The 13,123-nt window shown below is 45.9% G+C and overlaps 1 protein-coding gene and 2 long non-coding RNA genes across 14 annotated transcripts in view, besides 8 other annotated features; 2 read left to right on the top strand and 1 right to left on the bottom strand.

Moving 5' to 3' along the window:
- Window positions 1-3,992, top strand: part of C1QTNF7-AS1 (C1QTNF7 antisense RNA 1) — a 422,973-nt gene extending 418,981 nt beyond the window's left edge. Inside the window, exons 5-6 of the long non-coding RNA NR_125911.1 lie at window positions 2,364-2,463; window positions 3,777-3,992. This is a non-coding gene — a long non-coding RNA (C1QTNF7 antisense RNA 1). The remainder of the gene's footprint in view (window positions 1-2,363; window positions 2,464-3,776) is intronic.
- Window positions 1-6,453, bottom strand: part of CPEB2 (cytoplasmic polyadenylation element binding protein 2) — a 67,671-nt gene extending 61,218 nt beyond the window's left edge. For 3 of the 12 annotated variants that reach the window (XM_005248135.4, XM_011513777.4, XM_011513778.4), the window contains exons 1-3: window positions 4,599-6,453; window positions 1,339-1,629; window positions 507-596 (exon numbers count right to left, since the gene is read on the bottom strand). In XM_005248135.4, the coding sequence (XP_005248192.2) occupies window positions 507-596; window positions 1,339-1,629; window positions 4,599-6,260 (2,043 nt within the window). In that variant the 5' untranslated portion in view covers window positions 6,261-6,453. Of the gene's footprint in view, window positions 1-506; window positions 597-1,338; window positions 1,630-4,066; window positions 4,090-4,412; window positions 4,437-4,598 lie in introns of those variants that run through there. The other 9 variants (NM_001177383.2, NM_182646.3, XM_011513779.3 and 6 more) reach the window with 5 other exon arrangements.
- Window positions 4,007-4,573: an enhancer, noted in NCBI's record as "H3K27ac hESC enhancer chr4:15005985-15006551 (GRCh37/hg19 assembly coordinates)". NCBI's record gives its function as "activates a minimal SCP1, AML or CMV promoter by ChIP-STARR-seq in primed H9 embryonic stem cells {active_cell/tissue: H9 hESC(primed)}" and the evidence as "EXISTENCE:reporter gene assay evidence [ECO:0000049][PMID:30033119]".
- Window positions 4,007-4,614: a biological region, named in NCBI's record as "H3K27ac hESC enhancer GRCh37_chr4:15005985-15006551".
- Window positions 4,015-4,614: a silencer, noted in NCBI's record as "silent region_15295". NCBI's record gives its function as "represses an Ori minimal core promoter by ATAC-STARR-seq in GM12878 lymphoblastoid cells {active_cell/tissue: GM12878}" and the evidence as "EXISTENCE:reporter gene assay evidence [ECO:0000049][PMID:35858748]".
- Window positions 4,995-5,204: a silencer, noted in NCBI's record as "silent region_15294". NCBI's record gives its function as "represses an Ori minimal core promoter by ATAC-STARR-seq in GM12878 lymphoblastoid cells {active_cell/tissue: GM12878}" and the evidence as "EXISTENCE:reporter gene assay evidence [ECO:0000049][PMID:35858748]".
- Window positions 5,305-5,454: a silencer, noted in NCBI's record as "silent region_15293". NCBI's record gives its function as "represses an Ori minimal core promoter by ATAC-STARR-seq in GM12878 lymphoblastoid cells {active_cell/tissue: GM12878}" and the evidence as "EXISTENCE:reporter gene assay evidence [ECO:0000049][PMID:35858748]".
- Window positions 5,505-5,814: a silencer, noted in NCBI's record as "silent region_15292". NCBI's record gives its function as "represses an Ori minimal core promoter by ATAC-STARR-seq in GM12878 lymphoblastoid cells {active_cell/tissue: GM12878}" and the evidence as "EXISTENCE:reporter gene assay evidence [ECO:0000049][PMID:35858748]".
- Window positions 6,315-7,174: a silencer, noted in NCBI's record as "silent region_15291". NCBI's record gives its function as "represses an Ori minimal core promoter by ATAC-STARR-seq in GM12878 lymphoblastoid cells {active_cell/tissue: GM12878}" and the evidence as "EXISTENCE:reporter gene assay evidence [ECO:0000049][PMID:35858748]".
- CPEB2-DT (CPEB2 divergent transcript) overlaps window positions 6,889-13,123 on the top strand; it is a 92,085-nt gene continuing 85,850 nt past the window's right edge. The window contains exons 1-3 of the long non-coding RNA NR_038857.1: window positions 6,889-6,996; window positions 7,209-7,308; window positions 7,705-7,773. This is a non-coding gene — a long non-coding RNA (CPEB2 divergent transcript). The remainder of the gene's footprint in view (window positions 6,997-7,208; window positions 7,309-7,704; window positions 7,774-13,123) is intronic.
- Window positions 7,415-7,464: an enhancer, noted in NCBI's record as "active region_21335". NCBI's record gives its function as "activates an Ori minimal core promoter by ATAC-STARR-seq in GM12878 lymphoblastoid cells {active_cell/tissue: GM12878}" and the evidence as "EXISTENCE:reporter gene assay evidence [ECO:0000049][PMID:35858748]".

Genomic DNA, 13,123 nt, shown 5'->3' with positions numbered 1-13,123 from the left:
ACAAAATTTAGAATACTAGGCTATATATTTTTTAATAAAGGTGAAAAAACTGAACCAAGAGAAGTCTTTTTTAGAAATATATCTCAAAACAAATACAGACTTCATGACAAAAATTTACTGAAAAGTTCTATGAAACATCAAATATAAAGCTAGATGTTAAGTAAACATATGATTTTGTACCTAATTGCATTTAATTCTGAAAAGAGATACAATCTGCTTAGTTTGACTGATGTTTAAAGTCAGGTGCTCTTGTGTATATAATTCCTTTTTCCAAAAAAAGTTTATTATGTTTTAGAATTATAAAAGGATTACTCTTAAATTTGAAAATAAAAAATTTCTTACATTAAATAGTTCAAAGCAGGTGATCCTTAAAAAATAAATTGCTTCAGTGTCCTCTAACATATGTTTCAATAGGTATAATAAGAAAGTAAATAATAAATCCTACTCATAATATAAATACTAAACTCCTAACCGAAATCCTAAAAAGTATACACTGTGCAGCCTACCTGGTCTATTCTGGATGTTCCGGCTGCAGTGCACCAACTATCTTGGAGTGAATCTGAGCCCCAAGCTGGCAACTGCAAACTAGATCTCACCTTCAATAGCATAGAAGTTTTCATCAGAAATGAGCAGTTGTCTTCCCCATACCCACCCAACGAAAGAAAGAAAGAAAACAAAAAATAAAGCTCTATCTTAAATCCTCATTCCATCCTCTAAAGGTTTAAGAAAAAAACAAAACAAAACAAAAACCTCACTTGCAATAGCCATAAGGGAACTTCAAGAAAATAATAAAAATACTGAAAGAAAAAAAAAGTCTAATCAACGTATTAGGCCACATTTAGAAAAAATAATCGGTGAATTAGTGAAGATAAATTTAAATTAGATGCAAAAAAGCCCTAATATTATTTTGCCACAATCACAGCTGTACTAAGTATATTCTAATATATATACAGCCAATTATAGTCAATTCTAAGAACAGTTACAATTACAGAACATATTAGCTTAGCTATATTAAAGGAGAAACAAATTTTGGTGGCCCATTAGAATTTATAAATTAAAGCATTCTTAAAGAGCTGCTAATTGAAAGCTTCAGTATGTATTTAATAAATACAAAAGGTTTTTCTACGTTTTACTAAGCTTATTTTCCATTGCGTGTTTAGAGAATTATTTTACATTCTCAATTTTCTCTGTATAGATATTTTAACCTTTGTTAATTAAATTACATGCTTAAAAATTAAAACTTTATTTCAAAAAATGTTAATTTTAGCATACCACTACCACCACCACCCAACTCCCTATTTTGAAAGATTAACATTAGAGATAAGGTCATTTACATACCATTCTTACCTGTAAGGGTAAGAGTGTATTACTATTGTTGTCTGTTCTGAACACATTATCTTCAATCCAAGATTTTGGAGTCAGTGATGGAGTTGAGCGAGTAAATTTCGGTGGTGCTATGACATTACCAGAAAACGGTTTCTTCAATGGAGATATCTGATTCATAGTTCCTGGGATTCCCATGTTTCCGGTTCTACGATGATCTCTGCCATGCATTGCTCCCCAGGACATACTTCCAGTGCCCCAGCCACTGCTCTGATGGTTGCTCCAGGGAGACTGTTTCAGAAGAGGCTAGGGAAAACATAGCTATTTAAATTGCGGCATTTAAAGAATTTACAATTCAAATTCAAATTCAAATTTCAGACCTAAGAATTTATATGAATGAAATATATAAAGGCAAAAGAATACATCTTTTCTAGGTTATAAAAGTAACAGTCTTGAGATCTTTCTATGTGAAATCATATTTGATGCTGGTCAAGTTTTCATCTTCTTGTATACTATAAATATCATGATATTTTATGACAGTTACTAAAATAGAACCATGCAGTTCCTTTTTATCCTTCAGAGATAACTGTATACATGATAAATATGAAGAAAAAAATTGAAATTAACTCTGAAGATTCTTAAAGATATAACATACATGGTGATCTTAAAGCAACCATATTAATTATGCTAGGCACACAACTAAAAATATGGTCTTTGTTAATTAAAATATCCTACTCATACAAGTGAAATATATAGACTTTATGTTTCCAAAACAAGTTGCACTACTACAAAAGTGGGAATTACTCTTGTACAAATTAAAATCGCCTTTTGAAATAAGGACAGTATAGAAACTATGTCATTTTTCTGCATTGTTTATTTAACTGTTAAGGCATTTTATTCCAGTTTTAGCATAGTTTGTCTTAATTGTTTTTATTTCACTTAATTATCCATAAACTGTGAAGCAATTATCTGATGTTGCCCATAGGTGGATCCACTGAGGTATACTGCTAATTAACTATATGCTTTGATTATTCCACTAGAGATCTTGATACAAGTCTCCATCAAGTTGATTCATTTTCAAAAGTAAATTACATCCTAATCTCAAACCTGTGGCAAGACAAGTCAAATCATCAAAGAATGGTAAATCCATCAAAACGCTAATAATTGTAGTTTTGGGTTTTTTTTTTTTTTAAGAAGTATTCATTGCTGGTAATTCTACTGTCAGTAAGTTTATACTTTAATACTTTGGTGTTAAGATGTAGCTAAAGAAGTATGAACCATACAGTTACTACAAATAAATATGGTTCTCTTAAAATTGAACCTGCTTTTTGTAAGACAATTAAAAGAGAAACTCCTGATCTACAGCACCAATTTTTAAACACTTTTAAATGCTAACATAATCATGAGTATATTATTACTCTTTCCTCTTCCACAGAGGTCCAAAGCATAATTACAGAGCCATGGACAAACCACTTCATTCTTGAGGGCCTTACTCTCCTTATTAAATGATTTAATGCTCAAAGTTATCTTCCAGTGATCTAAAATTCCATATGAAAGCTGTGTGACCTCTCACACTCCATGGCTAGACCCATCTTTTGTCCAAAAGCAAATTACAGTTAAATATGGATCATGGTATATGTTCTTCCAACGCTCTGTACCACAACTTTAAGTAAATACAAAATTACCTACAGATAATTTTCTGTGGGCAAGTTTCCAGATAACAAAATGAAGATCCTGAGACACAAAAGACAGTTGCTGAGGGTTATAAAAATCATGAAAAAGTGGAACATTATTTCAAAATCCCTATTTTCAATCCTCATAGGCCACATTCTCTTTTCTAAGAAAGAAATCAGTGATTCAACAAAAACTGTTCACTGTCACTTTGGTTAACTTAGATAAACTGTTAACTTTCACTTGGGTTAATTTAGATAATATTCACTTTAAAAAGACTAATCCTTGAAAACTTTGGTCAACTGAAAAAGTTATGGGGTTAAGGTCATATTTTGCGTCTCTGTCAATCCTTAATCACGAAAATAGAAAATGGACTTAAACAGAATGAACTCTGCAACAAATGCTAACAAGATTCAAAACCAACAAGACACTCTTTCAATGCCAATTTACCAATCTAGCGGTCACCCAAAAATTGTATTGAGGGAATAACAAAAAAGATCTTGAATCAAAAAAGATCCGGAAAATAAAAATTCTGCCCAGTGTCATTTCACAATATTACCTACTTAAAATACACACGGCCCACATATTCCCTTGTAGAAGGTTAAGGCAACCAAAAAATGTACCGAAAGTCTACGAGGAAACACACCAATCCCAGATCCAAGTTCAGTTTTGTCTTAAAACCCACAAAACATGACCCCAACATTGAAAAGCACAGAAACTAAGACATTCGTGGGATATCTCGGTTTGAACCCGAGCGGTCACTAACAGTTTCTCTTTCCCAGTCCTGTGACAGCCAAGGAGGCGGCCCCGCGGGAACCAGGTCCTGCGAGGAGGGCGGTCGGCCGCTCCCTCCCGACTCCCTCCTGGGCCGGCGGCCCAGGGTGCGGCGCTGCCAGCAGGTTGATCGGGCGGAGCTTTGGGAGCGGCTCGACTGACCGCCCGAGGGGCTGAGGCTTCAAGGCGAGATCACCGCCGGCCAAATAAGAATAAACAAACTCCAAAGAAAAAAAAAAGCCTTTCCGCCTTCCCTCATTGGACAGCGAGACAGAGTCTTGGGCTCCTCCGCACGCACCTTCTCCAGCAATCATTTTTCCCCTGCCCAAGTTCACTTCCCACGGCCGCTCTTCCGAGGCCCCCGGCCAGCCCCCGGTCCTCGCCGCGCCTCCCCGCGTCGGGGGTCCGGGGCGGCGGCCCTCCAGGCCCAGGGCACAGGGCGGATCCCGGGGTGCGCCAGCTAGGAGGGCCGGGTTGAGACGCCGCGCCCGGCCGCCCGCGGCCCCGGCGCTATTCGGCCCCTGCCCCAGTCCCCACTGCTGCGCCGGGACGTTCGAGGGGGCGCCCGGCCAGCCGCGGCTCCCAGCGCGAACTCGTCTCCCACGCCCCCACAGCCCACGGTGGCCACTGCCCTCCCAACCCACCGGGGGCTGGGGTTCCGAGTCCTGTCACGGTTGTCCGCCCTCAGTTCCACTCTCACTTGGGCGAGTGGCCCCCGTCGCGGCTTCTCTCGGGGCTAAGGTCGGGTCCCCGGCTGCCCTGCCCCCGCCTCCGTCCCCCGCCCATGGTCTCCCGGTCCCGCGGCGCGGCCAGGCCGCCGCCCGCCGTACCTGGTGGTGGTTATAGGAGTTCCTCTGCTGCAGGAAGGCGGCGGCCGCCGCCTGGTGCTGCTGCTGGAGCTGCGGGCTGACGGGCGACCTCCGGCTCTGCGGCTGCTGCGGCGCCGCGGGCGGCGGGGGCTGCTGTTGAGGTATATTCATGGCGGGCGGCGGCGGAGGGGGCACAGCGGTAGCCGAGAAGGGGCCGCCGAAGCCGCCGCCGCCGCCGCCGCTCGTCGGAACGCTGAGCCCAGTGCAGCCGTGCGGCGACACGGGCGAGAAGCTAGGGAAGAAGGCCGGGTTCATGGACGACGGCAGCCCGGGGTAGAAGCCGTTCTCTGAGTCGGGGCTGGGCGGCGGCATGGCGCTGAGCGAGCCGCCGCTGCCGCCGCCCGGGGTGGTGGCAGACGAGCCGGGCGGCTGCGGCTGCGGCTGGGGCGGCTGCTGGGGTGGCGGCGGCTGCTGCTGCGGCTGGGTCGGCGGCGGCTGCTGGGGCTGGGGTGGCGGCGACGCGGTCTGCACCGACCAGGGGGTGCCGAAGCCGGGCAGCGGCGGCGGCGACGCGGAGCCGCCTCCCCCTCCGCCTCCTGGGGGCCCCCCGCCCCCGCCGCCGCCGCCGCCGCCCGGGTGTGGAAGGTCCGGGCTCTGCAGGCTGCTGAAGGCGCCCGCGCCAAGCGCACCTCCGGGCAGGAGGTTACTGGGACTGTTGAGCAGAGGGTGGTTGGGGGACTCCATGGAGCCCGGCGCGGGGTTCACCGGCGTCGAGGAGGCCAAGCCCGCATTGGGGGACTCGGCGGCGCTGCCCTCGCCCGCGGCTGGGGTCTTGCGAGGGCTGCCCGCGCCTCCGTGGCGGCGCCGCGGGGCTGCAGGCGGCGAGGGAGGGAGCTGCGGGAGCGGGGGCAGGTCTGCCGGACGCTGCCGCGGGGCGAAGTCCTGCGGCGAGAGGTGCTGCTGATGCAGGAGGCTGAACTGCTGCGGCGGCTGTTGCTGCTGGCGCTGAGCGAGCTGCGCCGGCTGGAGGAGCGGGCCGGCTGGCGGCGGCGGCGGGCTGAACCGACCGGGGCAGTGGAGCGGCGGAGGCGGCGGCGGCGGCTTCGAGTCCGGAGGGTGGGGAAGGTGGGGAGGGCTGAACTCTTTCCTCTTCTGGCTGCTCAGCTGCTGCTGCTGCCGCTTACTGAAGTCCTGCGGGGAGGAGGTGCGGCAGCAGCAGCAGGAGGAGGCGGAGGAGGAGGAGGGGTGGTGCAGACTCGGTTTGAAGTCCTGGGAGGGGAGGAGGTGGGTCACACCCGCGATCGTGCCGCCGCCGGGGTGGTGGTCGGGGAGTTTCTCCGTGGCCGCCGCCCCCGAAAGCGGCCGCGCCGGCTGCTGTGTCAGCCCCAGAAGCAGCTCATCCTGCATGGTCTGCTGATGCGCCAGGAACGGGGAGGAAGAGGAAGCGGCGGCGGCCGGGCTGCCCGCGCCGCCGCCGAGGGGGACGGAGAAGGGGGAGGCGGCCTCTAAGAAGCCGGTGACAGGCAACGGTGGTGGCGACAGTGGGCCGAAGGGCGTGGCGGAGGGCAGCGGGTTGACGGACCCCACGGCGTAAGGACCATACGCCTCGCCGCAGAACAGGGGCCCAGGACTGCTACTTCGGAGCGGGGCGGTCTGCAGCACCCCAAACCCGAAATCCCTCATTTATCAGGCCGCCGGCAGCGGGAGGAGACGCTCCTCGTCCCCTGCCCCACCTAGGAAGCCGCCGGCGCTGGGGTTGCGCGGCCGTGGTGGAAGGAGGGGGAGTCAGTGAGAGAGGGACACCGTGACTGAGCCAGGGGGCACCGACTTCGGCCCCACCACCCCTCGCGGCGATCGCCGCCGCCGCCGCCGTCGCAGTCGCCGTAGCCGCCCTGGCCGCTTAAGAACCCCGGAACGTGCGTCAGCGCCACCTCACAATCGCGCCGCCCCCCGCGGTGCGTCCCGGCACGCGCGGGCGCGAGGCCACCGCGTCCCCGTCGCCCCTCCCCGCCCCTCATTACTATGCAGACGCAGCCGAGGGCGCGCTCGCGCTCCCGGGAGGGCGGGAGCGAGCGGCGTGTCCCGTTGGGTCTCTCCGCTCCCGGGGAAATGGACAGGCCGGTTGGGGTGGGGGTCGGCTGGCAAACAGTGGTCGGGAGCATTGGGCGGGCGCGCGCACGAGGGCAAGCACGCGCGGGAGGGAGGGACGGTTCCTGGGCAACGGCCCCTCCTTGGCGCGGGATCCGCGCAGAGTCTGCCTGGGTCGCACGCGTCTCCGCCCCTCGCGGTGCCTCCTCCTTCCTGTCACCTCGGTTCCGCCCTGGGTGGGGAGAAGCCCTGCTGCACCACTCGGGCTTCCCAGAGCGGGGCTGGCCCGCGGGGGAAACTGAGGCCCGGGACCCCGACCGGCGCCTGCACTGTGCGACCCGCGTAGAAATAGGCGCCCGAGGGGCCCCCAGCGCAACGCGGGAGCCCGGCCCAGCCCGGGGGTCCTGTGGTGAACTAGCGTCTGGGCTCTGCCGGCTTGAAGTCCGCTGAGCGCCTCGCCGCGCACCTCTAGACCCCGAGTCCCCGATCTAGGGCCTCCTTGTAGCCCTAGGTAGCGCCCTCTAAGCTTGTTTCTGTTTTTAGGCGCTGGTAGGAGTGCTGTCACCGACGTCGTAGAGCCGCCGAGGGTGTTTCTGTAGGGTAAACATGAAGCCTCGGCTATATTCCAGGCATTTTCACTTGGGTAAGAAGGAACAAAGTCCCTGGAACAAACACGCTCCGCGTGGTTATTTACACACTCGGATGCGTGGAACGGGTTCCACGGCGAGCTCCCATAGTAACCCCGGGCCAGCTCCGCTTCATAAAAGCCTTTCGTGTGCCATCAGGGCTGCAGCGTGGGACTCCTCCCCACCACATTCATTCCGGCGTCCCCGCCCCTTCCCCCCAGGGAGACTCTAATTTATTCCTAAGCTTTATGAATTTTCAAGGGAGAAATAGTTCTTACATCAGGGAAAAAAGGAGGTTCTGACTCAGCAGCAGACTTGTTGAGACTTGCAAAATGGAAGGGAGAGAGCTTTCCATGGTAGAGCTCTTTAGAAGCATTAGAGGAGGAACTAATCCTGTGTTTCCTTTTGTATAGAAACATTTTACATAAAGTATTTGAAGGTCTAGATAAAGAATAACAGAGTGATCCATACTACATGATGAGGTGAACTTTATGTTTCTGTTTTGTAATTTTAACTGTTTTGCTTGATGCTTAGAGAAATGAAACTATTAAATGAATCCTAGAATATAGACTCAAACCCCCAAAGCAATAGAAGGTGGATTCAGACTTTACTTGATTTTGGTTTACAAGTGAACTAAGATTAAATATTTAATTTTATAAATTAGCATACTCTTACTGATGTAGGCAGAGTGTACATTTTTATAAGTCCTCATTCTCTATTTGAATTCTACTTCTGTTCAGTGTCTCAAATTTATATAAATCGAAATAAACATGGTAGAAAGAGAGCAACATTGCCCCAGGGAACTATACTTCATGTATAATGTTTATCTCTGCTATCCTGTCCAATGAACCAAGTTTTATGTTGCCTTTACAATAAGGAAAAAGTACTTTTTAAAAAACTCAAATGGTTCAGAATTTGGTCAGGTGAATAGAAAATTGGTTCAACTTATTAATCTCAAAATCATTTTTAACAGTCAGGCAAAATGTAGAACTGGAGAAGTATTTTTATTCTAAATTACAATGTCTAGAAAATAACCTGAGCTCAGAATTTAAAATATAAATGGTTATTTTCAGAGTATATATTGACATATTAAATATTCATTTTTTAAAAGGTATTGTGCAGGAAAAAAAACTACTTCTGCAACTAAGGAATGTAAAGTCTTAACAACGGATGATTTTTTTCCAAGTACAGTTGTATTTGATTGGAATCATTTGCAGATCCAACAACAAATCTTGAAATAGGGGGAAAATACAGGTATAAACCTTAGCTCAATTATCCACTAACACCGCAGTTAGTAAAGAGGAGAGAGCACATACTTTTAAAAGCTAACTGGTGCCTTTCTGGGCTAGAGTTTTGAACAAAAACAAGATTTCTTAGTGCTCTGGTACTAGTTTTGTCTTAGAGGATTTAGAGCTCTCTGAAACGGGGAAAAGCCATCAAGTTTGTTATTACATAATAATGTCAAACTTCATATTAAATACACCAAATTCCAAATCCTGCCAGGGCCTCTACTCACTACTTTTGTGAGGGCCCCATTTTTTTAGAGCAGAAAGTTACTTTCTGACATCTTGTAAGCTGGTGATCTTGCCCTTATTGAAAATATTCAAATGAAAAGGTTTCCTAGGGTGGAGAGTGGAGTGGGGTAGGGAGAAGGAGCAGCAAATACTGAGGAGGGACTATGGTCCTCTAGCAGTTTCCATGCCAAGATCTTATGAGTCCATTCAATGATTTTTTTGGTTTTTTACATGAAAATATTTTGACTCATGATCATTAACTAGGACCTTGACTTTGTATTTGACAGTCCCTTATTCATTTACTCCCACTGTCCTGGGCAAGTATTTTTAAAAGTATTTTTGCTACAACCCAATATATGTGCAAGTACACACTCATGCAACTGAAATAAAGCTGCTATTAAGCAATTCTTTTAATAATGCAACAAACTCCTTTTTATAATTCTATTTTCATTTTAAAATCACGTTTGATCTCAAATTACAAAGTTGGTTTTAACACCCTCTATCAGATTATGAACTGAAAAACCACTGTCCTAGACCATTTCAAACATTCTGCTCAATCTGAAAACCTCTTGTCACATCTCTCCTACATGCATCTGCTAGCATGTAGCACTCTCAGCTGCTGAGCTACATGCTTATTTCACTGAGAAAAAAGAAGCAACCACAGGAAAACTTCCACAGTCTCCCTGCATCTGTCCCTGCACACCTTGCCTTCCCTCTCGATACAATGGATGGCCCATCTGCCCATACTCCTGTCTAAGGCCAGCCTCTCCACTGGCGGAGCAGATCCTACCTCTAACCTACTCAAGACATGGGCTCCAACAGTTTTCTCTCTCTGTCCTTCATCATGACCTCTTTCCTCTCCAGGAAACACTTCCATGTGCACAAAAACTTGCTTTACTAGTTCTCACCTTTGAAAAGTAAAGCCAAAACCTTTTGACCTTATATTCTCCCTCCTTTAGCTACTGCCTTCTTTTTCTGCTTTTACATTGCCTGAACGACTTGCCCATTTGACTGAGTGTCTCATAGATACCTCAAATTAAACACGTCAAAAATTAAACTCCCTGCCTCACTAGGCCCAATCCCTGTGGCGCTCCATTGTTCTGGTTGCTCAGGCCAAAAACCCTGGAGTCATTCTTCACTTCAATCCACTTCTGTCCTTCTTGCATCATATCCAAGCCATCAGAACATGTTGCTTGTCCTACCTTTAAATTACTGGCATAACCTAGAGATACCGTGGGTTTTGTTCCAGATTACCACAATAAAGCAAATATCCCAATAAAGCAAGTCACACCAATTTTTTGGTTTCCCAGTGCATGTAAAAGTTATGTTTACAGTATATTATACTCTAAACATAAGTTCTCAATTATAGTCTAAACATAACTTGTAATTACATTTAAATAAGTGCACAGTAGCATTATTCTGAAAAATATACACACATTAATTTAAAAATACTGCTAAAAAGTGCTAATGATCATCTGAGCCTTCAGTAAGTCATAATCTTTTTGTCAGTGGAGAGTCTTGTCTCGACATTCATGGCTGCTGACTGATCAGCATGGTGGTGGCTGAAGGCGGAGGTGGTTGTGGCAATTTCTTAAGACAAAGATAGAGTTTGTCACATAAATTGAATCTCCCTTTCATGAAAGATTTCTCTGTACCATGCAATGCTGTTTGATAGCATTTTGTCCACAGAACTTCTTTCAAAATTAGTCAGTCCTCTCAAAACCTGCTAATGCTTTATCATCTAAATTTATGTAATATTCTAAATCTTTTTTGTCATTTCAGCAGTGTTCATAGCATCTTCATGAGGAGTAGATTCCGTCTCAAGAAACCACTTTCTTTGCTTATCCATGAGCAGCAACTCCTTCTCCATTCAAGTTTTATTGTAATATTGCAGCAATTCAGTCACATCCTCAGGCTCCACTTCTAATTCTAGTTCTCTTGCTATTTTTACTACATCTGCAGTAACTTCCTTCACTGAAGTCTTGAACCCCTCGAAGTCATCCAAGAGGGTTGGAATCAGCTTCTTCCAAACTCCAGTTAATGTTGACACTTTGACCTCCCATGAGTCACACATATTCTGAATGGCAGCTAGAATGGTGAATCCCTTCCAGAAGGTTTTCAATTTGCTTTGCCCTTATCCATCAGAGAAATCACTATGGCAGCTATAGCCTTATGAAATTTATTTCTAAAATAATACTTGAGGCTGTCCTGGTGACAACTTAGTGATTTTAAATTTTAAAATGAAAATAGAATTATAAAGAGGAGTTAGTTGCATTATTAGAAGAATTGCTTAATAGCAGCTTTATTTCAAAACAATCTCAGCACTTTGGGAGGCCAAGGCGGGCAGGTCACTTGAGGTCAGGAGTTCAAGACCAGCCTTGCCAACATGGTGAAAACCATTCACTTCTAAAAATACAAAAATTAGCTGGGTGTGGTGGCGCATGCCTGTAATCTCAGCTAATTGGGAGGCTGAGGCAGGAGAATCGCTTGAACCTGGGAGGCGGAAGTTGCAGGGAGCCGAGATAGTGCCACTGAACTCCAGTCTTATAGCCAGAGCCAGATTTTGTCTCAAAAATAATAATAATAATACTTGAAACTCATAATTACTCCTGAATCCATGGGCTGCAGAATTGAAGTTGGGTTAGCAGGTATGAGAACAACAATTATCTTCTTGTACATCTCCATCAGAACTCTTGGGTGACCAGGTATATAGTCAATGAGCAGTAATATTTTGAAAGCAATCTTCTTTTCTAAGCAGTAGATCTCAACAGTGGACTTAAAATGTTCAGTAAACTATGCTCTTTCCAAGTTTTGTGGTTCCATTTACCAAGCACAGGCAGAGTAGACTTAGCATGATTCTTAAGGGCCCTAGGATTTTCAGAATGATTAATGAGCATTGGCTTCAAGTTAAGGTCACCAGCTACATTAGCCCTTAAGAAAAGAGTCTGTCTTTTGAAGCTTGAAGCTAGGCATTGACTTTTCCAGCTATGAAAGTCCTAGATGATACCTTCTTCCAATAGAAGGCTGTTTTTTCTACGTGAAAACTTATTTAGTGTAGCCACCTTCATCAGTTATCTTAGCTAGATTTCTAGATAACTTGCTGCAGCTTCTCCATAAGCACTTTCTGCTTTACCTTGCACTTTTATGTTACGAAGACAGCTTCTTTCCTTAAACACGAACCGACCTCTGCGAGCTTTGAACTTTTTTCTTCTGCAGCTTCCTCACCTCTCTCAGCCTTCACAGAATTGAAGAGAGTTAGGGCCTTGCTCTGGAGTAGGCTTCAGCTTAAGGGAATGTTGTGGCTGGTTTAATTTTCTCTATCCAGACCATTCACACTTTTTCTATATCAGCAATAAAGCTGTTTCACTTTCTTATCACTCGTGTTCACTGGAATAGTACTTTTAATTTCCTTCAAGAACTTTTCCTTTGCATTCAGAACTTGACTAACTACTTGGTGCAAGAGGCCTAGCTTTCAACCTATTTCAGCTTTCCACATACCTTCCTCACTAAGCCTAATTATTTCTAGCTTTTCATTTAAAGTGAGAGACATGTACCTCTTCCTTTCACTTGAATACTTAGAGGTCGTTAGAGTGTTATTAATTGGCCTAATTTCAATATTGTTTTGTCTCAGGGAATAGGGAAGCCCAAAGCCTTTATTGATTAAATTATTGTCTTATATGGTTGTGGTTTGTGATGTCCCAAAACAGTTACACTAGTAACATTAAATATTATGATCACAGATCCCCAAAATAGATATAATAATAATGACAAAGCTTTAAGTAACGCAAGAATTACCAAAATGTAACACAGAGATACAAATTGAGCCATGCTGTTGGGAAAATTGTGCTGATAGACTTGCTTGATGCAGGGTTGCCACCAACCTTCAATTTGTGAAAAACCCATTATCTGAGAAGCACAATATAGCAGAGCACAATAAAGCGAGGAGTGCCTATATATCCAGAATCCAAGCACTTCACCCCATTCTCACCACAAGCAGCCTGGACCAGGCTACATCGTTGCTCTCACCTACTAACTCGTATTCCAGCTTCTGATCTTGCCCCTCTCCAGTCTGTTCCCAACATAGCAGCCAGGATGATACTTCTGAAGTGGAAGACAGGTCATGTCAACTCCTCTGACTAAATACTTACATTTTCTCAGAATAGAAGTCAAAACATTTTAATAACCAAAAGGTTCTTCAGAATCGCTCCTGCCACCACTAACCCCTCTGAAAGCTTCCCTACAGTGGAATGCTTATTTCTGTAACAGCCCAGGCCAATTCAGCCTTAGGGCCTTTGCCCTCGCAATTCCCACACCTGGA

Source organism: Homo sapiens, chromosome 4, assembly GCF_000001405.40.
Source record: "Homo sapiens chromosome 4, GRCh38.p14 Primary Assembly".
NCBI classification, from domain to species: Eukaryota; Metazoa; Chordata; class Mammalia; order Primates; family Hominidae; genus Homo; species Homo sapiens.
This window is presented reverse-complemented; position numbering and strand designations above follow the sequence as displayed.